The 25,640-nt window shown below is 33.4% G+C and overlaps 1 pseudogene; it reads left to right on the top strand.

The window, feature by feature from the left end:
* The window catches only part of STARP1 (steroidogenic acute regulatory protein pseudogene 1), a 31,022-nt pseudogene extending 5,706 nt beyond the window's left edge, over nt 1-25,316 (top strand).

Genomic DNA, 25,640 nt, shown 5'->3' with positions numbered 1-25,640 from the left:
TGTTGTATATGTTTTTCTTTTCCCCGAAACCTCCAATACCTCCTTAGCTGATCTGCGTGTTCAGAGGATGATCTTATTTTCTAATTAACTGGGAAATTTTCAGTAATTTGAAAACAAATCTAGTAAACTACATTCATCCACCTACAAATATCTTTATTCATAAGCTCTATCTTCCCACCTGCTCCTCTTTAAAGACAATCCTTCCATTTACACAGCAGATACTATCTCCTCCCACCTATTTCATGTCATTTGTTAGCAATTTTTCCCTCTCTTTCCTATATCATGAATTCTCCCTTCTCTACCATTCCCCTCAGTATAAACAACCAATTATTTATTCCATCTTGAAATCCCGTCTTTGACACTTGTCTTCACAGATGCTACTCTACCTCTACTCCTCTTCATAGCAAGCATCTCAAAAGTGTTGTCTGTACTCACTGTCTATATTCTATTTAAAACCACTCCACTGAAATTGCTTTTGTTAAATTCAACTTACATGCAACATATTTCTAAATATATTTTCAATTTTCTGTGTTCAATATAATCAGTATGCAACTTTTATCAGCAGGATATGATACAATCAATCCCTCTAACCCCTCAGAACACATTCCTCCTTTGGCTTTCATGAAACCAAGAACTCAGTTTCCTTCCTGTTTTACTAACCACTCATTCTCCATCTTTTCTCATAGTTCATTTTTCCCCTTTTTTGTTTCAATTTGAAGAGTTCCAGGGCTCAGGCTTTGATTTCCTTCTTTTCAGTAGCTATAATATTTTCCATCTGATCTTGTCTATTTTTCTGTCTTTTTATCTGTTATAGTTTGTTGCTCAGAATTAATTTCTGACCTCCAGACTCATGTATATCACACTGCCTGCTTGACATTTCTATTTGAATGTCTAACAGAGATTTGAAGCTCTACAAGTCTAAAATTGAATTTCTGGTCTCCCCCCTCAAACCTACTGTCTTCACAACTTTTTCTTTCTCAACCAGTTGCATCTACACCAATATAGTTGCCCTAAATAAAAAAAACGTGAAATTATTCTAGACAACCCACTTTTCTTATATCCCTATACTTGTTTAAAATTCTGTGGTGTTTACCTTCAAAATATATAAAGAATCTGACCCATAACCTCCAAATCTCCTATCACAAACAGTGGCTGAACCAACAATGTCTTTAGCCTGGATTTTAGCAACAGCCTTCTAACAGGTTTCTCTACTTCCACTCTGAACTCTCTAGAATCTGTTCTTCATATAGCAGTTAGAGGGGTTAATTTAAAATAGAATTCAGATCATATCACTACTCTACTGAAAACTATGCAGTGTTTACCATTTCACAAAAGCTAAATCGTAAAGCTCGACTATGCCCTTTGAGAGCCTACTTAATTTCCCCCAGTTACGTCTTTAATCAATTTCCTGATCGTTTCCATTCCATTCACTCTACACCAAACACAACAGCCTTCTTTCCAGGCCATGAAAGTATCAGGTGTCTCTGCCATAAAGCTTTTCTGCAGATGGGTCCCTCTGTCTCAAATGGCTCACATCTGAGCACTGCACAAATGTCACTATGTCACTAAGCCTCCCTTAGTGTTTTAAAATTACATGTTTAAAATTACAACCTACCTGTGCCATTCCTGAACCTCTGAACCTTTTCTGTCCAGTTCTACATAGGTTTTTTTTCCCATGGCCCTTATCTTCTAACTTACTTATTATTTGTTTTTACATTGTAAGTTACTTCTGTAATTTTTGTATTCCCTAATACATGTTATCAAAGAAGCAAGGATATTTGGTTTACTAATATATCCCAAGGGCCTACAATATTTCCTGATATAGAGTAGGCACTTATTTTTTTAAACTAAATGAAATAATAAGATGTAATGTTTACTGAGCACTTAATATTTATTAGACACAGTGCAGTACTAAGTACCTTGCAGGTCTTGTAGATAGTATTGTGTCTCTCTCTGTCTCTCTGACTCACTGTGTCTCTGTCTGCCTGTCTCTCTCTCTCTCTCTCTCTCTCTCACACACACACACACACACACATACATATGCACACACAAAGCAAGACAAAGCGAGACAGAAATAGATAATGCTGTAAGGGCTTTGGATCACTAACTCATTTTAGCTGAACAGCTAACCATATTAGAGTTGGTATTACTATATTTTCGATTTTGTCAAAGAAGAAAACTGATGTCCAGAAAATTTTGTAACTTGCTTAAGGACACATAGCCAATACATTGTGAAGTTGATATTCACATGGCGGCAGTCTGGCTCTGACAACTGCTTTTAACCACATGTATACAATCTTATGCTAGAAGGTAGGAGAGCTGAGATTTGAAGGCAAGTGGTCTGATTCCAGAGCCCACATTCTTAATGAACCACATATATTTTATTCAACACTAGACCCCTATTGGCCAGCTGAATGTGTTCTTTTTCAGTCTTATTAAGTTGTCAGTAGGCAGTAGATAGAAAGAATAGAGTGCTATAAAAGTATTTAATGTCCACAACGAGTTTGAAATACGAGGACTTAACTTCCTATGCTTATGAACCCAGTAAATCTATGTCTTCACTGAATGTTATCCTAAGTGATATGTAAACAATAATAAATACCTGTAAGAACATAAGCATGTCACGTAATCACTCTAGGCTTTTTTTTTTTAATTTCACTAAGATGTGACAAGTTTGATCTTAGATAAATTTTAAATTTCTGATTTTAGCATGTTGTGACTATAGGTGGTAATATGAATTTACATTATTCCTTTACTCTTTTTCAATTTAAAATGAATCATTTCACACAAAATTTATAAATTATTTGCACAACAATCATCATAATCTTCAGCATGTTCACAATCATCATCAAGATGGGAACTATTATTTACATCCACATGTTGAATTTAAAAATTAAGTAAGCTATTTATATTCGCAGATGACAACAATAAGAAAGAATAAATTAATAGCAAGAATTACAATTAAGTCGGCTTGCATATTTTTCTGCAATGTGACTGATTATGATTTATCCTTTGCAGTTTATTTCATCAAAAAATCATACTCCGTTGTTACAATTTGTTCAATATGTTCCATCAGAGTTATGAATTTTAGGTTTACGGCACTTGAAGACTTCACAGGAGATATATATATATATATATATAATATAAAATATTTAAATGAACACATTTAAATTCTAAATTCCTTATAAGTTTTATGAGAAAGTTGTGCAACTGTGTCAGATAATAAACAAAATAAAATTTACCATAGAGAAAAGAGTTTCATAGAAATATCTGCCAAGAGCTTGGCATGGAAATTTAAGGAGCTTATTCTGAACATTTTCAGAGCATGCTATTGTTTGTCAAGGCTATCTATGCAGATTTACTCATAAATAATTGAAATTTAATTTTTCTTCTCAACATAGCTTCAATTTAGAATTATGCATCCCAAACAAAGTAACTGGGAGTTTTCATCCTAACAAGGGTACACTTTAAAAGCAGCTGTTGTCATTTGGAAGAAAACTTAAACATAACTTCATGTTTTATCATTATTTTTACATTTCCTAAGGGTTGCAAGAATTCAAAGAGAAGCTGCCTTCTCAGAAATATAAACTATGAAGTGATCATCAGATTTTGATGAGCATTTTTGAAACATATGATGATATCTACAATAGAGCTTATAATATAATTTGATATTCATGTTGCATAACATTTTTCAAAATTCTCAATTTTTATTTACTAAAATGTACAATAGATAGAGTGCTACATTTGGAAATGGACACTAATAAAATTGTTTATATAATTTCTGTTTCCATTTTTGTAAGACTGTGTCCATTTAAAAAGTTTATGTGATATATTGTGAAAGTTGTGGATACCAATATGAAATCATTTTTTTGTCAGATCCAAAGAAGCTATTGCTGGGAGAGCCTAAAGTGGGAAGGCTCATTCTTGCAATTCTGAGATAAAGACTGTCTCCAGGACTTTCTAAAATAACCTTACAAAACATTTTTTTCTTTAGGGCTGCAGCAATTCATATAAGATATTCTCAAAGGGGCATGTGCCCAGTAACGTAGCTCCACCAATGAACGGATGCCAACTTCGACTTGGGTCTCTGGAACCAACAAACTCTGTTTCCAAGCAGCTTACATGAATTTCCTCTTTTGCCAGTAAGTTTCCCTTTATCCTCCCCTGTTTCATTGCATACGCGTCTTGCCGTAGCTGTGCATGTTAGGCCATAATCCTCTTTTCTAATTCCCAAATACATTCAGCATATTTGGAGGGTTTTTCTCTCATTTTTGCTTTTTTGGTTGGCAATATAAATACACATACAAACACCTATAAAACACACAGATTGAATTTTCATAGGTCAAAAGTGTTCAAATGTCATACATGTGTGTACATATAAATAATTATAATATTTATATATAAATATTATCAATAAGTATATGTAATGGTTTTAGCATGGTTTTAGATAAATGAACATTTTATAAAATGACTTCATCAAATTTTGCCAATTATTAAATAATATGAAAATAAAACACGAAAAAACAATAGAACTTAGGTTTATATTTTATTCTATACTATATTACAGATAGATTTTTATGTTTACTTTTCAAATTAAAGGATAAAATACACAATATTTTTAAATATTATGAAGATATAAGTGACACACAAGTCCTATATGAAAGGAATTTATTAAACTAATAGATGGATTTTATTTAGAAAAAATCTTTTTAAGATTTAGGACTAGCACTTAAAATAATTATTAAATTATATTCAGCATATATATTTGAATATCTCTGTTAGCCAATTCTTTAAAATTTTGATTTTAAGGTTCAATTAGTTAGATACTTCCTGAGTTTGGAGGAGGGAAAATTAAAGATAATTTAAAGTCCACTGTTGGATTTTACAATCTGTCTGATGCAGTAGAAGAATCTTTGGTAATATAATTCTAAGACTTGGTGTTAACCACTGTCTCAGCCACTTCCTTATGAGCAAGCAGTAAAATCCTTCAACCTGTTTCTTTAAATATGAGGCAGATGTAAACTGGTTCTGAAATTGATTTAATGTAAAATAACATATAGTCACATTGTTTACTGTTAAGTACTGAAAAGGTAAAAGGTCATTATTTACTCCTGCAATATCAATTTTAGTCAGACACAAAATCATATTTGTAAAATGTTAATATAATGGAATTTAAATTTTGTTAATCTCACATTCTTCAGCTTATTTTAAAAACTGTTGAATCCATGTTCATATGTTAATTGGTGAAGATCTGACTCACCGTCAAGGTTACCGAAATCATACTTTCTTATCTATCAATTATATATTTTGTGATTTTAAAATATTATATATTTTTGAGGGGAGATGAAAAGTGGAATTTTAATAATACTTCTATGTGAACAAAAAACCATACATCTAATATATTGCATAATATCAAATGTTTTGATATTTCTTTGTATAAAGTCAATGTTTTAATTTATGTATCCATTTAGAGTTGTCATTTTTATTTCATGACTATTAGAAAGGCATGCATTAAGGAAGATCTAATATTTTGCATAATATCAAATGTTTTGATATTTCTTTGTATAAAGTCAATGTTTTAATTTATGTATTCATTTAGAGTTGTCATTTTTATTTCATGACTATTAAAAAGGCATGCATTAAGGAAGAATAGCTAGTGGATGCTGGGCTTACTACCTAGGTGATGGGCTGATCTGTGCAGCAAACCACCATGGCACACATTTGCCTATGTAACAAACCCGCACATCCTGAACATGTACCCCGGAATGTAAAATAAAAGTTTAAGGAAAAAAAGGCATGCATTTCAGAATATCAGGTTTTGTTTTATTTTTCCGAAATCCTTATGCTTATTTCATATACTGGAAGTACTGTATACATAATTCTTATGGAGATCCTGGACACACACATTTTTTTTAGAAAATTCCCAGCATTGTTTGGAGTTGCACATCTGTCTACGAGCTATATGTTTGCTGCAATATTTAAATAACAAATTGTGAACATTCCCAGCAATAGACAGCCCTAGCAGAACAAGTAAGTGTTTGATATGGTGATAAATGTTTATTATATAAAACCTCATTTAATCCATACAATAATCCCCATTAGATCCATTTTCAGATGAAAAAACTAAGGCTTTGATAATTTGAATGACTTGCTGGAGGTTGGTGCTGAGGTTCTAATTCATTTCTGTGTGAATATATGTATATTTTTAATGAATTCAGTGTAAGGGATAAAAGTAAAAAAAAAAACTAGTAAATTAAACATATGGGATTGTAACAAACATTTAAAAAGTAAAACTGAAAACAACACAAGTAAGTTATTTTGGAAATAGGTAAGAAGAGTGGAGTTAAGAAGAATTGGGTAAGAAGAGTGAAGTTAAGTTACGTAACTGTGTGCATCAGGGACAGGGTTTTGAAAACGATGGATTTCTTTGTGCAAACACACCAGGAGAAGCTTTCATGTAGTGCTGTTCAATTGGATAAGGGAAGGATGCTCCATAAACTTCCTTCTGATGTTTCTGTTTACATTTCTGGAAATCTCTGAGGCATTACAACCGTATGGAAGAAGCAAGAACTAAACTTTGGAACTTATAAAGAGAGAAAAGGTGGTTCCATTTAAGTTCAAAATACTACTACAATGCAATTTCTTGTTTTAATGAATTTGGATCTTTAACACGCTAATACACCAAGTAACATAGAAATATTATGGATTTTGTCTTATCACTATACGTTTACATTGTTGAGGGCTTTATAGCAAAAATTATCAAGTATGGTAATACATGGTTGCATCAGTGATATTTAGTCTCTAAAATTATCTAATATGTTAATATTAAGGCATGTGTTTATTGTAGCTTAAATATGAGAGTAATACATACTACTTATTTCTAAACTTGATTTCATTAAATTTTGTATCATGGCAGTTAAAATATATCAGTTTATATTTTTAAAAGATGATTTTTTGGCCTGTTTAGGTTCATGGCAAAACTAAGTTCAAATATGCTCCCTCTCCCCACAGTCTCCCCAACATTAACGTTCTATACCAAGATGGTACGTTTGCTATAGTAGATGAACCAACATTGGCATACCAGTATCCCTAAGGCTATAGTTTACATTAGAGTTCACCTAGATGTTGTACATTAGTTTTGACTAATGTACCATAACATGTACCCATTGTTATAATACCCTATAGACAGGTTCACTGCTCCAAAAATCCCTTATGCTCCACCTGTTCATCTCTTCCTCTTCCTTATCCCCTAGCAACCACTGATATTTTTACAGTCTCCATAATTTTGCCTTTTCTAGAAAGTCATATAGCTGGAATCATACAGTATATAAAAGTTTTAGATTTGGTTTCTTTGTAATATGCATTTAAGTTTCCTCCATGTCTTTTTATGTCTTAATAGTTCATTTCTTTTTAACAATGAATGATATTCTGTTGTATGAATGTACCACAATTTATTTTTCCACTCACTTACTGAAGGACATCTTAGTTGTTTCCAAGTTTTGACAATTTTGAACACGGCTGCAATAATCATCTATGTACAGGTTTTAGCGTGCACGTTTTCAACATACTTGTGTAAATACCAAGAAGTACAGTTTTTGGATCATACGGTAAGATTATGTTTAGTTTTGCAGGAAACTGTCAAGCCATCTTCCAAAGTGGTTGTATCATTTTGCATTCCCATCAGCAATGAATGAAAGTTACTCTTGCTCCACAGCCTCACCAGTATTTCGTATTATCAGTGGTCTGGATATTGGCCATTTTAATAAGTATGCAGTAGTATCTCAATGTTGTTTTAATTTGCATTTTCCTTATAAGATATGGTGTACAGCATATTTTCCTTTTAAATTTATTTTTAATTGACAATAATTAGATCTAGCTTATGGTATACAAAATGATGTTTTAAAATATGTAAACATTGTGTAATAGATAAATTAAGCTAATGAACATATGCATTACTGGAAATACTTTTCATTTATTTGTGGAGGAAACTTAAAATCTACTCTCATAGCAATTTTCAGGTATACAATGTATCTTTTTAAAACTATAGTTACCATGTTGCACAATAGATCTCTTGAACTTATTCCTCCTGTAAAACTGGGATTTTATATCCTTTTGATCTGAAGCATCTTTGCATATGCTTGTCATTTGTGTATCATCTTTGGTGAGGTGTCTGTTAAAGTCCACCAATTTGGCTCAATTTGTAACTGCATTGTTTGCTTCTTTATGGTCGTTTCAAGACTTCTTTATATTTTAAAGCAGGGGTCTTCAACCCCTGGGCCATGGACAGGCACCTGTCTAAGACGTGTTAGGAACTGGGTGGGAGCACAATAGGTGAGCAGTGGGCCAGTGAGCATTACCACTTGAGCTCCACCTCCTGCCAGATGAGCAGTAGCATTAGATTCTCACAGGAGTGCCAACCTGTTGTGAACTGCACATGGACAGGCACCTGTCTAAGACGTGTTAGGAACTGGGTGGGAGCACAATAGGTGAGCAGTGGGCCAGTGAGCATTACCACTTGAGCTCCACTTCCTGCCAGATGAGCAGTAGCATTAGATTCTCACAGGAGTGCCAACCTGTTGTGAACTGCACATGCGAGGGACCTAGGTTGCATGCTCCTTATGAGAATCTAACTAATGCCTGATGATCTGAGATGGAACAATTTCATCCCCAAACCATCTCTCCTCTCCATACACGGAAAAATTGTCTTCCTCCAAACTGATCCCTGATGCCAAAAAGTTTTGGGACTGCTATTTTAAAGAATAGTCCTTTATCAAAAATAAATTTTGATCACCGTTGTCGTAATGTTTGTGAAGGATGTAAGGTTTATGTCGGAAATCATTTTTTTGCCTGTGAATGCTCAGAAATACTTGTTGAAAAAAGTATCTTTTCTCCACTGAATTTCCTTTGATATTTTGCCAATGATCAGTTGACTATATTTGTATGGATCTGTTTCTAGATTCTCTATTCTGTTCCACTGATCTATTTCTTCTATTCTTTCACTATTTCTACTCTCTTGATTATTGTAGCTTTACAGTGGGTCTTGAAGTCCAGTAATGTCAGTGCTCTGACTTTATGCTTCTTTAATATTGTGTTGACTATTCTGAGTCTTTTTCCTCTCTTTATACATGTTTGAATCAGTTTATTAATATCCACAAAATAATCTTCTGAGATTTTGATTGGGTTCTCAATGAATGCATAGATCAAGTCCTGTAGACTTGATATCTTAAAAATGTTTAGTCTTCTTGTTCAGGAACATGAAATATCTCTCTATTTATTTAGTTTTATTTGATTTCTTTCATCAGAGTTTTGTAGTTTTCTGCTATAAATCTTGTACATATTTTGTTAGATTTATACCTAAGTATTTTTATGGGTAGCTAATATAAATGGTGTTGTGTTTTAAATTTCCAGGTTAATTTTTCATTGCTGGTATATATATATGTATGTATATAAAATTTATTTATTTTTGAGATGGAGTCTCACTGTGTCACCCTGGAGTACCGTGGCGCAATCTTGGCTCACTGCAACCTCTGCCTCCAAGGTTCAAGTGATTCTCCTGCCTCAGCATCCTAAGTAGCTGAGATTACAGGCGTGCACCACTACACCTGGCTAATTTTTATATTTTTAGTAGAGATGGGGTTTCACCATGTTGGTCAGGCTGGTCTCAAACTCCCGACCTCAAGTGACCTACCTGCCTCAGCCTCCCAAAGTGCTGGGATTACAGGCATGTGCCACCACACCCAGCCTTGAAAGATATTTTAAATGAGCAAATTTTTGCCTTCACTAATATTGTAGTTTTTAGTTTCTTGATTTCTTCTCTAATTATTATTATTTATTTTGTTCTGCTTACTTTGGCTTTTATTTTGTCTTCTTTCAATTCACAATTTTGCTATCTGAAAAGTGAAAGAGTAGAATATCTTGTGATCTCTTGCTCTAGCCAACTGGATTGTTCAAATAAACTTGAAAACACTAAGATACATGGTCACATTTAATTTGTCAAGAGAAAAAATTTGCTCTGGCAGGCCTGAGTAACACTAAACAAGATAATTAAGTTGATTATGAGGCCATTTCTATTATATATATTTATATATAATTAAATTAATATATTAATTTGTTAAACACATGTTAATTTAGGCTGGTAACAAGGGTGACCAAAAGCTGATGCAATCTTTCCTTTTAAATAAAGATCCAATGACTCTTAGGAAACAATCTAATGAGAAAGACAAGCATGGATCAAATAATAATAAATATATACATAAAATTATTGTGTTTAATTTGCCTACTAGTGTATCCCCAAAGCTTAGAACAGTATATGATACATAGAAAGTTTTCAATAATATGTACTGAATAAATTAGTTAGTAAGCAAAACTGCAATATGGGCTATGAAATCATGTTGCATAGTCCCATGAGAGTGCATAACAGTAATAGTTTATGCTCAAAATTAATTTGGGTGGTCCAAGGTTTTGCATATGTAATAATGCTTGAACTAGTCTGAAAAATTAAACAGTATAAGAAAAGGGGACATTACAGATATAGAGTATTTCATTTGCAAAGAATTTGTGGATGGAAGGAACATGAGCATGAGAAGTGCAATGAGACCAGTGCACTCCAAGAACATAGCACCAAGCATGAGGAAGAATGATGAAGAGGTAGGTAGGGGACAGTCCATCTTGGATTTCATAGATAATGTTAAATATGTTTTATGCTCCTATTTATAACTTAGATATACGTAATATTTCTTTCCATTCTATAAAGCCAAATGACTGCAATTTTTACATTACATAATTGATTAAAAACCTCACTTGGTAATATAATATAAAAATATGATATAATACTTATTTGCTATTATAAGAGAAGTAGGACATGGGAAATCTAACTTCCCCAGTAATGAAATTGGAGATAAAAGTAAAAATAAGCCACAGAATGATTATAAGGAAATTAAAAAGCTATGTATGCTTCGTTGTGTGACTTACAAGCTTTTATTTCAGCTGGTAGCCAGTATGTTATCTTGAACTAACATAATGCATCAAATTGTCAAGTTAGAATCTCAGAAATCAGGCATCTTTCCAGAATATCAAGCTTTACTTATAATTACAAAGATACTTACAACCAAAGCTGATAGGCAAAGCAGGAGATGTTGCGATAAACAACATGGTTCCCTAGGTCCATTTTTTTTTCACAGACACATGCTGTCTCATCTCTCTCAGGTAAGAGATGTAGTCTCTGTGTGAGATTGATGTGTTTTTCTATACATCAAGGTTTTGAAATACTTTCATGGTATATTTCAGATGAAGTAAAGCACTTAGCTTATGTGACATTTCCAGGTTTCACCCACAGCAAGATGATTATAAACACCCTGTATTCTGTGTGCTTGAGTAGGGACTTGGTGTCCTGTAGTGTCAACCAAGCCACACTATCCTAACTGCAATCACTACAATTTTCAAATTGTCTTTCATTTCCCTCACTGAAGCTCAGACCATTTCTAAGTCAAACTAGTGCTTGCTTTGAAATAACATTATCTGCTCTATTTATCGTCTTTCCTCAAGACGTGAACATTAGTTCCTGGACACTCTCCCCAGCAAGTGTGGTCTGATTCACAGTTCTTAACAAAGAACTGCTAAGAAGGTGGTTGACACCACCACCTTAAGTGTCAACAGTATTGTTAACCACCTAAGTGTTGTCTTTTCTTAGAAGTCTCTGTTGATATCACATCCACTCAGCCCCTAAAGTTCAGATTCCCTAGGAAGACATCACAGCAAATCAGGTCAAGCTTATTTTTTCTATGATATTTTACACACTGATTTAGGATGTCGGTCACTTCGCTCAGAAGCCAGATTTTTGACCACAACCAATTTCTCTGCCTCTGACATTTTCTCTATTCTTTCTCAATTTTTAGCTGGTCCTACCTGGGAACTTCCAGGTTAATATACTCTTAGTGAAGTATCTTTACATTTGCAAACTTGAAAATACTTTTGATATACGCCAGTCAATATTAAAATATCTCAAGATGTAGAATTAGTGAGTAGGTACATAAGTTGCTATGGTAAAGATTATATTCAGTTCGCTTTTTACTTTGCTTAATTTAGGATCTGGAGAAAGGAGCTTCACCTGAAAGAACACAAAAATTATTTGTAAGAAACCGTTATATGTGCTATGAGTGATAGAAAGAATGAAAAGACATGATTCCCATTGTGATACCCTGAACATAGCAATTATAACACTCCTTTAGGTCCAGACTTATATTCACTTATTACAAAGACAGATAAATAGAATGTGTTGATATTCTTGGATGACTTCTTATAGATAGTAAGCAATATCTTAAAACAATTTATTAAACAAGATCTGTTTCAGATACTTTTTTATAGCTGAAAGAGGTGTTACTACAAATTCCTAATGATCACTGTAAAATAACTAAAACTGGATAAAATCTGATCATATATGTTTTATAAACCAACATATGTATGCTCATTTTTCTAAAAATAGAACCTCTCATATTTTTCAGGGAACATTCATCCTTTTTGAGGCTGAACAAATTCAAACACATTTGATGACTCAGTCCCTCCAAGCAGGGAAGCTCTTGTATCCAGGGAAACCAGTCCGGGTTGCCAGGACCTAAAGATAAGACAGGAGGAGCCCTGCTGTCTGGGATGTAAGGAAGCAATCTGCTATCTATCTCTTTCAGTCAGGGATTCTTTGTGCCTGTGATGCCTCCTGACCAATCTGGAAACATACCTGTGCCCCTAGCATTTCTGTTATCTACTGCATCACCACCCATTCCCACACTCCACCCATGGAGATGATGGTTACAATGAAAAGAAAACTTTTTCAGATCTGTGGTGGTGTCTGCGGCCCCACATGCAGGCATGGAAACAACAGCAGGAGCAGTAGTTGTCTTTTTTGAATCACAGTGTGAAACTTCTATGATCTTCACTTAGCAGCTGTTTTCTTGGAGTCTCTCAGTCAAAATCACTGGCCTTTGTTCCATATAGGGTAAGAACTCAAGTTGTAGAGTCAGACTGACCATGATTTGAAACCTGACTTTGCCATTTACCGCCTTTCAGATCTTAGTAAATTATTGAGGCTCCTTTATCTCATGCAATAAATGAGGGTAAAGGTACAGCATCATATATACAGATGTTGAGTGGATTAAATGTGATTATGTATTTAAAGGGCTATCATAGTGCAGAAATGAAATTATAACTATTTGTAATAATATATGCTAATATTTTGTGTTATGCTCACCCCTTCAATCCTTCTCTTTTTTTCCACATCTGAGTATACAGAAAAAAATAAGGAGCCAAATATATTGGACAATGGGATTTAGGGGAAATGGGGAAATGCGGAACTATTCTTCCTTCCTTCCTTTTTTTTTTCTTTTTTTTTTTTTTGAAGTTTTGCTCTCACTGCAAGCTCTGCCTCCCGGGTTCATGCCATTCTCCTACCTTAGCCTCCCGAGTAGCTGGGAATACAGGCGCCCGCCACCATGCCTGGCTAATTTTTTTGTATTTTTAGTACAGACGAGGTTTCACCGTGTTAGCCAGGATGGTCTGCAGCTCCTGACTTCGTGATCTGCCCGCCTTGGCCTCCCAAGGTGCTGGGATTACAGGCCTGAGCCACGCCCAGCCCGAACTATACTTTCAAAATTCCATGAAAATATTAGGCTTAAGATCTGTACCTTTAACTGCAACTACAGGGGAAAAGAGTGAGATAATTGGTCCCCAGAACAAATCCTGAGTTTGTTCACATGACCCTAGGATAAGGCAGTGGGTTGAACTCTCACTCGGGCATTGACCCAAGAGGCGGAGATGAATGTTCTGTCCTTATGCTTAACTCCTACCTAAAAAAATTGCCTAATTTATGACTTGGGCAGTAGTCTGTGCCTGTGGGAGAAAAAACAGGTATCACATGACCCCAGCTTGGGTCCTGATTCTTATCAGTATATTAAGGAAGAAGAGTTAGTAGAATGAGGGAGAGAAATAAAGTGTTGTGGCGAATTGTTTGGGCTCAGGAGTTTGAGACTAGTCTGGGCAACAAGGTGAAACGCTATCTACAGAAAATACAAAAATTAGCTGGGCATGTTAGTGCATGACCGTAGTCCCAGCTACTTGAGAGGCTGAGCTGGGAGGATTGCTTGATGCTGGGAGGCCGAGGTTGCAGTGAGATGAGTTTGTGCCACTGCACTTCAGCCTGGGTGACAAATCCAGAGCCTGTCTTTGAAAATAATAATTAAAAAACCCTCTTTTACTCTAATAAGTCATGGCCCAATGGGTGTCAGACTCTGCACTATCCACTCCCTTGTGGAGGCAAGGGTAAGACAGTAAGGAGATGACTGAAAGTCCCCTTCCCAGTGTTTCTCCTTATGAGGAAAGATTTTCTTTCCAGATAAACCAAGACCCCTCATAAGAAAAGATGCATTAGCCTCTTCATTTCCCACGTCACAGATAGACAGACAGATAGATAGATAGATAGATAACCATCATCCCATCTAATTACTACTTTTTAATTATTACCCGATTAACTGAGATCTATGCTCACTTTGATCTTTCACTTACAGATGACTGTGAAAAAGAACAGAATTTTATCTACTACAGAAGAATGCCAAAAAAATAGTCAACAGGGGCCGGAGTTCCTTCTTCCACTCTTCTAGGAAATATTCCATGATTGACACCTACATGGACCTTGTAGGCACAAAGTGTCCCAGGCAACCACTTGTCACTCCTTGACACTGCCCTCAGGCAGGTCCAGTGTACAAAGTTTGCTCACATAAATCACCTATATTTTGTTCATTATTTACCAGCATAAAGTAAACACACATGTGAAAATATAAACAGGTTATTTTCTAATAAAAAAGAAACTGCCAGAAAAAGAAAGATGACATAAATTGTAAAATGCGCCATTATTCATACTATATTAAGGAGACTCCAGTGAAAATTATTTTAATTAGAACGTTATCCAATATCTCTTAATAACATTAATTGTGAGATTTAAAATTATTTAAAGGTTGCTAAAATGTGAAAAAATATGCATCTTAAAAGGAATAAAATGCAGTACATCAGAGTCTATAATACACATGAGTATAAGTGTTGTGTATATCATTACTACCATATGAATGTAAATGATGTTACTTCTCACCCATTTAAGTAATACAAGTACTAATTGAGCACCCATTGTTCACCAGTTACTGTACTATAGTTTGCAGAATGAACAGCAACTTATTCACATAAATTATCATTGAGGAGGTCATTCTTCTCTTTGGGGAAACATTTCAATAAAATGACGGCCTAAAGAAAATCAAGAATGGGTGGTTAGTGACATTACAATCATTCATGCAGTGCAGACGCTGTAGGAAGCAAGCAGGAAAATAAAACAGATAAAGCAAGGGAAAGTAGAGGCACAATTTTTTTCAACAACGTTTCATAAATTTCAGTACTTGATGTACAATGCACTGACCTTAAGATCAACAATGATTCTGCTACTCTGTTGGCTGCAGACATTTTCTGTACCCTGTTTTGTTCTGCCATTTTTATGAAAGGATGTGAGACATTTATTTTATTACTCGGAAGTAGAATGTTCTGTAAACCACTGATCTTTTGCCTTATATTTAGTAATTTTTTTAAACTATATACTTTAATTAAGGTATAATACCTCTTGGTTAAATTTTGCTATTTTATGTTTTCATTAAAAAAATTTTTTGAGGCCAGGTGTGGGGGCTCATGCCTATAATCCTAGCATTTTGCGAAGCTGAAATGGGCAGACTGCTTGAGGCCAGGAGTTCAAGACCAGCCTGAGCAACACCCCATCTTTACAAAACATAAGAAAATTAATCAGGCCTGGTGGCTTCTGTGGCATGTGCCTGTAGTCCTAGCTACTTGGGAGTTTGACGTAGGAGGACTGTTTGAGCCCATGGATTCAAGGCTGCAGTGAGCTATGAGATCATGCCACTGCACTTCAGCCTGGACACAGAAAGAGACTCTGTCTAAAACAAACACACATACACACACACACACACACACACACACACACACACACAATTTTAGTTAGCTTAGAAGAATAAATACAGGAGATCTATTCAACAACTTGGTAACTGTAGTTAATAACAATGTATTCATTTTTGAAAATTACTAAGAAATTATTAGATTGGTAAAAAATTAATCGCATTTTTTGCCATTACTTTCAATGCATATGTTAATTAGCTTAAGCCACTCCACTATGTGTATATACATGTTTCACAATACTATTTTATACATAAAAATGATATATAATTTTTGCCAATTAAAAAATCAATTTAGGAAAAAATGGACAAAACATTATTTTAAGCATTCTACCAAAGTACTAATCAAAATATGTGAAAATAAATTGAACACCAGTAAGAAAAGCTTGTTTGAATTTTTAAATATGTAATATGTTTAATATGGGAACTACTATTTAAGTAATGGTCATATTGAAATGAATAATTAATATATCAAACAATGCATGTGATGAAGAGTATAATTTAATGAATTTTACAAAGTTCTCAGTCTTAAATGTATTTAGGAGTGTAATTTCAAAATTTTTATATCCGGAGATATATGACACCCTTAATTAATGGGCTTTTATCAATCAGTTTTTGTTCTTTGTTTGTTTTAGCTCTATGGTGAGAACATTGGTTTAAAGACCTAAATGGTTATTTTTAATGTGAAGATGCAATAGATTATCTGATGTTTTTCTATGAGGAAGAGTATGTATTGCTAGCATAAAAAAGATAAACTTCTTATTTTTATGCAATCTACATGAGTTTGGAGCTTGCATTATTTATTGTTAAAAAGGTTTTCCACTATAGTTTGCCCATATATAATGTACAATAGTTTGTGTCCAATAGATATTTCTCAAAAGAAGACATACACATGACCAACAGATGTATTAAAAAATGTTCAACATCACTAATCATCAGGGATATGAAAATCAAAACTACAATAAGACATCACCTCACTCTAGTTACAATGACTACTATCAAAAAATCAAAATATACCAAGTGTTTGTGACGATGTGAAGAAAAGGAAACCCTACACACTGCTTGTGGGAATGGAAATTAGTACAGTCATTATAAAAAAACAATATGGAGTTTCCTCAAAAAATTAAAAATAGAGCTATCATATGATCCAGCAATTCCACTACCGGATATATATATATATATCCAAAGACAATGAAATTAGTATGCCAAAGAGATATCTGGACACCCACATTTATTGCAGCACTATTCACAATAGCCAAAATATGGAATCAACCTAAGTGTCTATTAAAGATTAACATATAAAAGAAAATGTTACATATATATAACATATATATAACACATATATGTGTTATATATATAACATATATATGTGTTATATATATAACATATATATAACACATATATGTGTTATATATATAACATATATATAACATATATATATATATAACATATATATGTGTATGTGTATATATATACACACAGTGGAATACTGTTCAGTCATAAAACATGAAATCCTTTTATTTGTGATGACATTAATGAACCTGGAGGACATTATGTTAGGTGAAATAAGCCAGGCAGGGAAAGACAAATACTGCATTAGTTCAATCATATTTGAAATCTATTAAAGTATTCTCATAGATGTAGAGTAGAATGGTGGTTACCAGGGGATGGGAAGAGTAAAGGAGAGAGAGGATGGAGAAAGATTGGTCAATGGGTATAAAGTTGCAATTAGATAGGACAAGTAAGTTCTGGTGTTCTATTGCATAATAGTATGACTAGAGTTAACAATAATGTTTCACGTATTTCAAAACAGCTAGAAGAAACTGTGATGTATTCATCACAAAGAAATAATAAATGTTTAAGGTGATGGATATGCTAGTTACATTGCTTTGATCATTACACAATGTATGCATGTATGGAAACATCATACTGTATCCTGTAAATATGTACATGTCAAACATCAATTTAAAAAAATAAAATAAAATAAAATTTTATCCAGCATCATAGTTGTCCTGAAAACATCTTACAAGTATTAATCTCTCTTTATATTTATGATAGAAATCAGTATATTTTAAAGTTGGACATACACATACACACCCGTGTGTGTATATGAAATAATCTGTTGACTTTGTCTTTGAAATTGTAAACTAAATGTTGATTTTGGAGTGCTTCAGAATAGATGGCCCCTTAATTGTTTTACAGTCTATGAACTCTGGCCTCCATTTAGATGATGCTCATGCCTCTTAAAGCAAACTAAAATAAAAATATAAAAGGATTAAGCAATTAAAAGCCTGAGAACAAGGAGATAGTCCAATCTTAACATTAATTGTAGTTAACATTAATAAATATTTTATTTATAAAGTTTAATGCTCCAAACAAGTAGATATATTAGATGCCCATTTGTTCATTTTACATGTTAGGAAACTAGGTCACTAAGTGTACATTACCGTAGGCTATCTGTTAAACCTTTGTATTGTAACCTTAAAACTACACTATTTACTACTACAGTAGTATATACTTATATGCTCCCAAAGCATGTGTGATAATAACATTCACCTCTTTGTATTAATTACCCATGACAACTGTGTACAAAGTGTTAAATACCACACAAATACAGTAATTTTTATTTAATTGTATTTATATTTCACTCAATTTAATTGTAGGCAATATTAAAACAATTTTTAGGCAAGCTGGTTTCACATTATACTCAAAATAAAACTATGTTATTTGTTTGTATTCCCTAAATATAATATTTTGATTTTCCATTGTCAGAAAAATGTTCTCATAATCAATGTACTTTGAGATTGCTACCTGAGTCTTAGCTAATTTATTTTGTTTTAACAAAATTATTATGTTGTAATTACCAGAATATGTTTAAAGCAACATCAATTAAGTCACAAAAAATACAACTTAAATTATCTTTCAGATATATATTTATAATACTAAAAGACATTTTTAAAGTAAAAATAAGTTCAAAAGGCTTTTATTTACAACCTGTCACAAAATACAGTAATTTTTATATTTTTCAGTTTTTTTTCTAAACTTCATTCTTTGTGAAAATGTTTTTTATGTCACTAACAAACTACTTTTAATATAGATTGCACTTATGTGCATTCACGCCACTATATTCAAGTGCCACTCTATTTATGGAAATTCTTAGCAATTGTCACATCATCGTAGGACTTCTAAACATTCTTTCTTACTAGTCAGCTATCCTGGCTTCATATTTTGTAGGTTTTCATAGTGGTCCACACTACTGGGTTAGAGGTAGAAATGATTTATTCCAAAATACCAGCATTATTATTTAAGACTAGCCATTTATATAAAATTTGTATACAGGCATGCCTTGGCGATATCGTGGGTTCTGTCCCAGACTACCACAACAATGTAACTTTACATTGACATTCACATATTTGAAAAACAGCTACCTGTCTTTCATGTTTTATGAACATGCTTCAAATATGAAAGTACCTTCACCAATTAGCCCTTCTAGAGTTTCTGCGGACCTTTCAAACATTTTATGTGTATATGTCTTTTCTTTGTGCATGTATATCCCTAATTAGAGTCACCAGTTTCTTATTCAGTAATTTGTAATCTCATAGTCTCTCTAGTGTCTGTTTGCTATATAACGGTTCCTGTAGAAGCATAGTACACCACCCAACTCTTTTTTTTTTAGTTTATTTTTAGTGCCTCCCAGGAATCTAGAATATGCTGGGGCCATCAACACCCTGAGAGGCAAAATGGAAATCAGTCTCTTGGACAGGCCCCTAAAATCCACAATGTAGCACACATGCTCCACTCTTTTCTTTGCCTCTGAGAAAGAGGCCACTAATCTGAATCCCCCTTTGCCTGCTCTGGATCAACAGCATGCCACCCAGCTTTCTGTTCTTGTTGTTGTTTTCTGTGGCCCCAGACATCTAGAGTATTCTATGTCCCATAGGCATTTCAAGACACGCAAGAAAGAAACCATTCCTTTAGGCAGCTTCCCCATTCCCCCCAAAAAAGGTCCAAATATCAGATGTATAGTCTAGTCTTCTCTTTTCCTTCTCAGGAAAAAGCCAGGAGCTGGAATTTTTCTCCTGATCATGTAGCACCATGCTGGTGGGAAACACTATGGCAAGAATGTACAACAAATTGTCCTATTGGCTTTTATGAAGCTGGTATCATGCTTTCCTCAGGTGTAGAGTACTTTTAACTGGTTTCTGGATTTCTTACCGAAGAATTTGGTAAGTGTGTTGTTGTTGGATCAGAGTCTCTGTGGCAGGAAGAATGGTCTGGGTCTTCCTATTCTGCCGTATAGATATTTGTCAATTGTCAATGTGTCAATTAAAATAAAATACAAAACCTAAGCATATTATTTCAAAAATAAAAAAAAAATCTTGTTTTGTGATTTAACATGTGATCTAACCTTGAGAATATTCCCTGAGCACTTGAGAAGTGTGTGTGTTCTGTAGCTGTTGAGTGGAATGTTGTGTACCTGTCTGTTAAGTTCTTTTGGTCTATAATATTGTTCAAGTCTTTTATTTCCTTATTGACTCTCTGTCTAGTTTGTGTGGCAGTTATTGAAATGGGGTTTTAAAATATTCTACTACTATGTTGTTTCTATCAATTTCTCCATTAAGTACTGACAATGTTTGCTTCATATATTTATATACTCTAATGTTGGGTATATACATATCATTGTAGTATCTTCCTGGTGAATTGACCCTTTTATCATAACATAATGTCCCTCTTTGACTTTTATGACACTTTTTGACTTAAAGTCTATTTGTCTGATATTAAGTATGATGACTTCTGTTCTCATTGAGGTACCAGTTTCATGGAATATATATTTTAATCCTTCCACTTTCACTCTGTGTTGCCTTAAACCTAAAATAAGTCTCTTGTAGACAGCACATATTTGAATCTTGTGTTTTTTTTTTTGTTGTTGTTGTTGTTGTTGTTGTTGTTGTTGTTGTTTTTTTGGGGGGGTGTCCATTCAGCCACTCTATGTCTTTGAGGAGTTGAAACCACTCACATTTGTAGAAATTATTCACAGGGAAAGATTTACTATTCACGTTTCCCTTGTCTTATTATTATTTTGTTCCTCTTTTTCTTTCTTGCCTTCATCCTCTTTGTTTTATTGAGTTTATTTAGTGATATGTTCGGATTTCTCTCTCATTTTCTTCTAGCATCTTATAGGTATTTTTGAGGTTACTATGGAGCTTACTTAAAACATTTTATAGTTACAATTTAAAATTAAGTTGATAACTATTTAACTTTAATCACATACAGTAACTCTCCACTTTCATATCCCTCCTACACTTCATGGTATCAATATCACAAGTTACATCTTTTTATATCATTTATCTATGGAAATATTTTTTATTTTTTATATTTTGGTTATTTTTATATGTTTTAATTAAACTTTTAAAACAGAATTGGAAGTTATTTATACAATATCATTACAATGTTACAATATTTTGTATTTTTACATATATTTATTTTCATCAATGAGTTTTATACTTTCATATACTTCTGTGTTGCTATTTATTACTTCTGCCCCCCCCCCCACTCTTCTGATTGGATAATATGAAATGTTACTCTTGGAGTATTCTCTTGTATATGAAACGTTGTTTTTGTCTTGCTACTTTCAAAATTCCCTTTGTCTTTGACTTTGACAATTTGATTATAATGTGTCTTGGTGGACTTCTTTGGGTTTATCCTGTTTGGCAATTTATTAGATCTTTTGAATCTAGATGTTCATTTCTCTCCCAAATTTGAGCAATTTTGGCCACTGTCACTTTAAATAAATTGTTTGGCCCTATCTATCTCTTTTTCCCCTAAGACTCCCATTTTATGTGTATTTGTCCATTTGATTGTCTCCCATAAGTCCCCTAGTTATTCTTGATTCTTTTTTATTATTTCTGCCCCCCACCCCAACCTTTTGATTGGATAATATGAAATGTTATATTTTGAAGTTGGCTGATTCTCCTACTTGATAACTTCTGCTATTTAACTCTTGGAGCAAATATTTTATTTCAGTTGTCAGTTTTAAAATGTTTGTGTTTATTTATTAATATATATTTTCATTCTCTTTGCTGACATTCTGATTTGTTTATGCATTGTTTTCCTGGGCTTATTGAATATCTTTATGGTAGTTATTCTGAATTATTTGTTGGGAAACTAATATAGTAATGTTTCATTAGAGTGGATATCTTGAGATTCATTTCATTCCTTTGATATGGCCTTGGCCTCCCAAAGTGCTGGGATTATAGGCATAAGCCATGGCACCTGGCCCACTCTCACCATTTCTGGACAACATAATACCTGAGGCTGTATTAGAGCAATTAGGTAAGAAAAGTAAATGAAAATTAACCATATTGAAAAGGAAGAAGTGGGATTATCTCTGTTCACAGAAGACATAATCTTACACGTAGAAAACGCTAAAGATCTTTTTTACCAAAACACACAAAAACCAGTTAGAATTAATAAGTTCAGTAAGTTTCAGGATACAATATCAATATAATAGGATGAGTTACATGACTATGCACTAATATCAAACTCTGAAAAAGAATTTAAGAATATAATCAAAAAGAATAACATACTTAGGAATAAACTTAACCAAGGAGGTGAAATACTATACACTGTATTTTTTAAAAAAATGAAAGTAATTAAGACATAAATGAAAGAAAATTCTATATTAATGTATTAGAAGACAATATTATTAAAATGTCTATACTACACAAAGCAATCTAGAGAGTCAATGCAATATAAATAAAAATCTCAATGACATGCTTTTACAGGAACATAAAAAAAAAATTTTGAACTCACAGGGAACCACAGAGGACCTTGAATAACCAAGTTGATAATGAGAAAAAAGAATAAAACTAGAAGCATCACTTTTTGGTATTTCAAAACATGTTATAATGCAATCTGAGCATCTCTAACCTGAAAATCCAAAATCCAACATGCTCCAAAATCCAAAACTCTTTGAGTGCCATGTTGACCCCACAAGTAGAGAATTTTACACCCGGCCTCATGTGATGGGTCACAGTCAAAATGAATCCAAATGTTGCTTAATGTACAAAATTATTTAAAATGTTATATTAAATTAATTTCAGACTATTTGTATAAGGTATACATGAGATATAATTAGTTTTGTGTTTAAACTTGGTTCCCATCTCCATCATATCTCATTATATGCATGCGAATGTTCCCAAATTAAAAAAAAATGCAAAACACTTCTGGTCTCAAGCATTTTGAATAAGATATTCAAGCTGTATAACGCTACAGCAATCAAGAGAGTATGGTACTGGCGTAAAGACAGACATAAACCTGCTGAATGGAATAGAGGGCCCCAAAATTATATAAATATATATATAATATATATCTTGGGGGCTTAAAATTATGACACAAAGCTGTAAAATTCCTAGAAGAAAACAGGTTTTTTTTTAATAACATTGGTTTTGCCAGTGATTTCTTAGATAGAACCCCAAAAGCACAGGCAAAAAATGTAAACATAGGCAAATTGGGACTATATTAAACTAAAAAGCTTCTGCAGAGCAAAGGTAACAATCATAAGTCAAAAGGCAACCCGCAACATGAGAGAATGTATTTGCAAATAATATATCTGATAAGGAGTTACTATTCAAAATGTATAAAGAAATCCTATAATTTTATAACAAAAAAACTGATTAAAAATGGGCAAAGAACTTCCATAGACATTTATTCAAAGAAAAGTTATGAATGGCCAATGGGGATATGAACAGATCCTCTCAACATCACTATTCTTCAGGTAAATGTAAATTAAAACTGCAATAAAATGTCACTTCATACCTGTTAGGATGGCCAACATTAAAAAACACAAAACAAAAACAAAAGAAAAAACAAGTATTGACAAGAACGTGGAGAAAATGCAACCCTGTGCACTGTTGGTGAAAATGTGAAATGGTATGGATATTCTTTATAAAAAAATAGAAATATCATATTATTAAAAAAATTTGATTTCTAAGTATGCAAAAGAATTAAAATCAAGGTTTTGAGGATATATTGCATTCACAGCAATCACACCATTATTCACAATAGTCAAGAGGTTGAAACCACTTAAATGCTTGTGGATGAATGAAAGGATGATGAAACTGTGGTTCATACATACAATTGAATACTATTCAGCCACAAAACTGTAATGTTATTACACGGAAGCACCTTGTGAACATTTTGCTATGTGAAATAGGCCAGCCACAGTAGGACAAACACTGCATGATTCCACATATATGACTTATCTAAAATAATCAAAATCATCAAAACAGAAAATGGTAGTTACCACGTGCTAGCAGAAAGGGAAACGGGTATTGTCCAATAGATATAAAGTTTACATCATGCAAGATAAAAAAATCCTAATGATTTGCTGTGCAACATTGTGTTTATAGTTAACAACACTGAACTGTCCATAAGAATATTTAAGAGGGTAGCTCTCATGTTATATATTTTTGCTACTTTACAGAAATATTGAAGGGCAATACATGTTTAAACCTCAAAGACTTAGAAAAATTCTAAAGAACAATAATAACATATTTGACTACCCTTAAATGTTAAAATGCCACAATTATAATGAAATGAGAAGTTAAAACAAGCAAACTGATACAAAATTAGGACAGATATATAGGACAAATTAGCAATAACTTTAATGTGTAAAGAATTCAGATAAATCAGTGTACTACAATATTATGTTTTCACTTATAGAGCAAGCAAAGATGTAACAGAAAATCATCAAAAAGAGGCATAACAATTGATTAAACCATGATACAAAATTTTGCCTGTGTATTATATGAAGCTGTATATTAGTCACCAATCTAGAAAAATTAATAATTGAATATCAAACCTCATTATCCTATATGAATTTATCTCTAATAGCCCTGTTAACTGGCTCAGCTTGACGGAAAACAGTTGAATTTTATAGACCCACACACACAAACACACACACACACACACACACACACACACACTCACAGAGTTGCTGTAGTAGCAAAGCTTATACTCCCAAAAAGTGAATTGGTTGGGGAAATGGGTGGTGATTGGGCAAACTCTTCTCAGATAAATGGAGTGAGTGAGTGAGTGAGTAATGCTAGTGCTAGGCTGAGTATATAAAAGTTGGCAACATTAATTAAGAACACTAGAGTTGAAAATATATGAAAGAACCCAAAGTTTAAGTAAAACATTAGTTTAAGGCCTGGCGCGGTGGCTCATGCCTGTAATTCCAGCACTTTGGGAGGCCGAGCTGGGCAGATCAAGAGGTCATGAGATGGAGATCAGCCTGGCCAACATGACAAAAATCCCATCTCTACTGAAAATACAAAAAAAAAAAATTAGCTGGGTATGGTGGTATGGGCCTATAATATCAGCTGGGAGGGTAAAGCAAGAGAACCGCTTGAACCTGAGAGGCACAGGTTGCAGTGAACTGAGATTGTGACAGTGCACTTCAACCTGGGCGACAGAGTGAGACTCCATCTCAAATAAAACAACAACAACAACAACAAAAATTAGTTTAAATATAAACTATACTAGAATGTATTACAGAATTCAAGAAAAACTTTAATAAATAAGCATCAAGATAATGGGTCTAAATATCTTATCTCTTCTTCCTTGGTATATTGGCCTTCTGAGTCTTGA

The sequence above is a fragment of the Homo sapiens genome, chromosome 13, assembly GCF_000001405.40.
Source record: "Homo sapiens chromosome 13, GRCh38.p14 Primary Assembly".
Lineage (NCBI taxonomy): Eukaryota > Metazoa > Chordata > Mammalia > Primates > Hominidae > Homo > Homo sapiens.
This window is presented reverse-complemented; position numbering and strand designations above follow the sequence as displayed.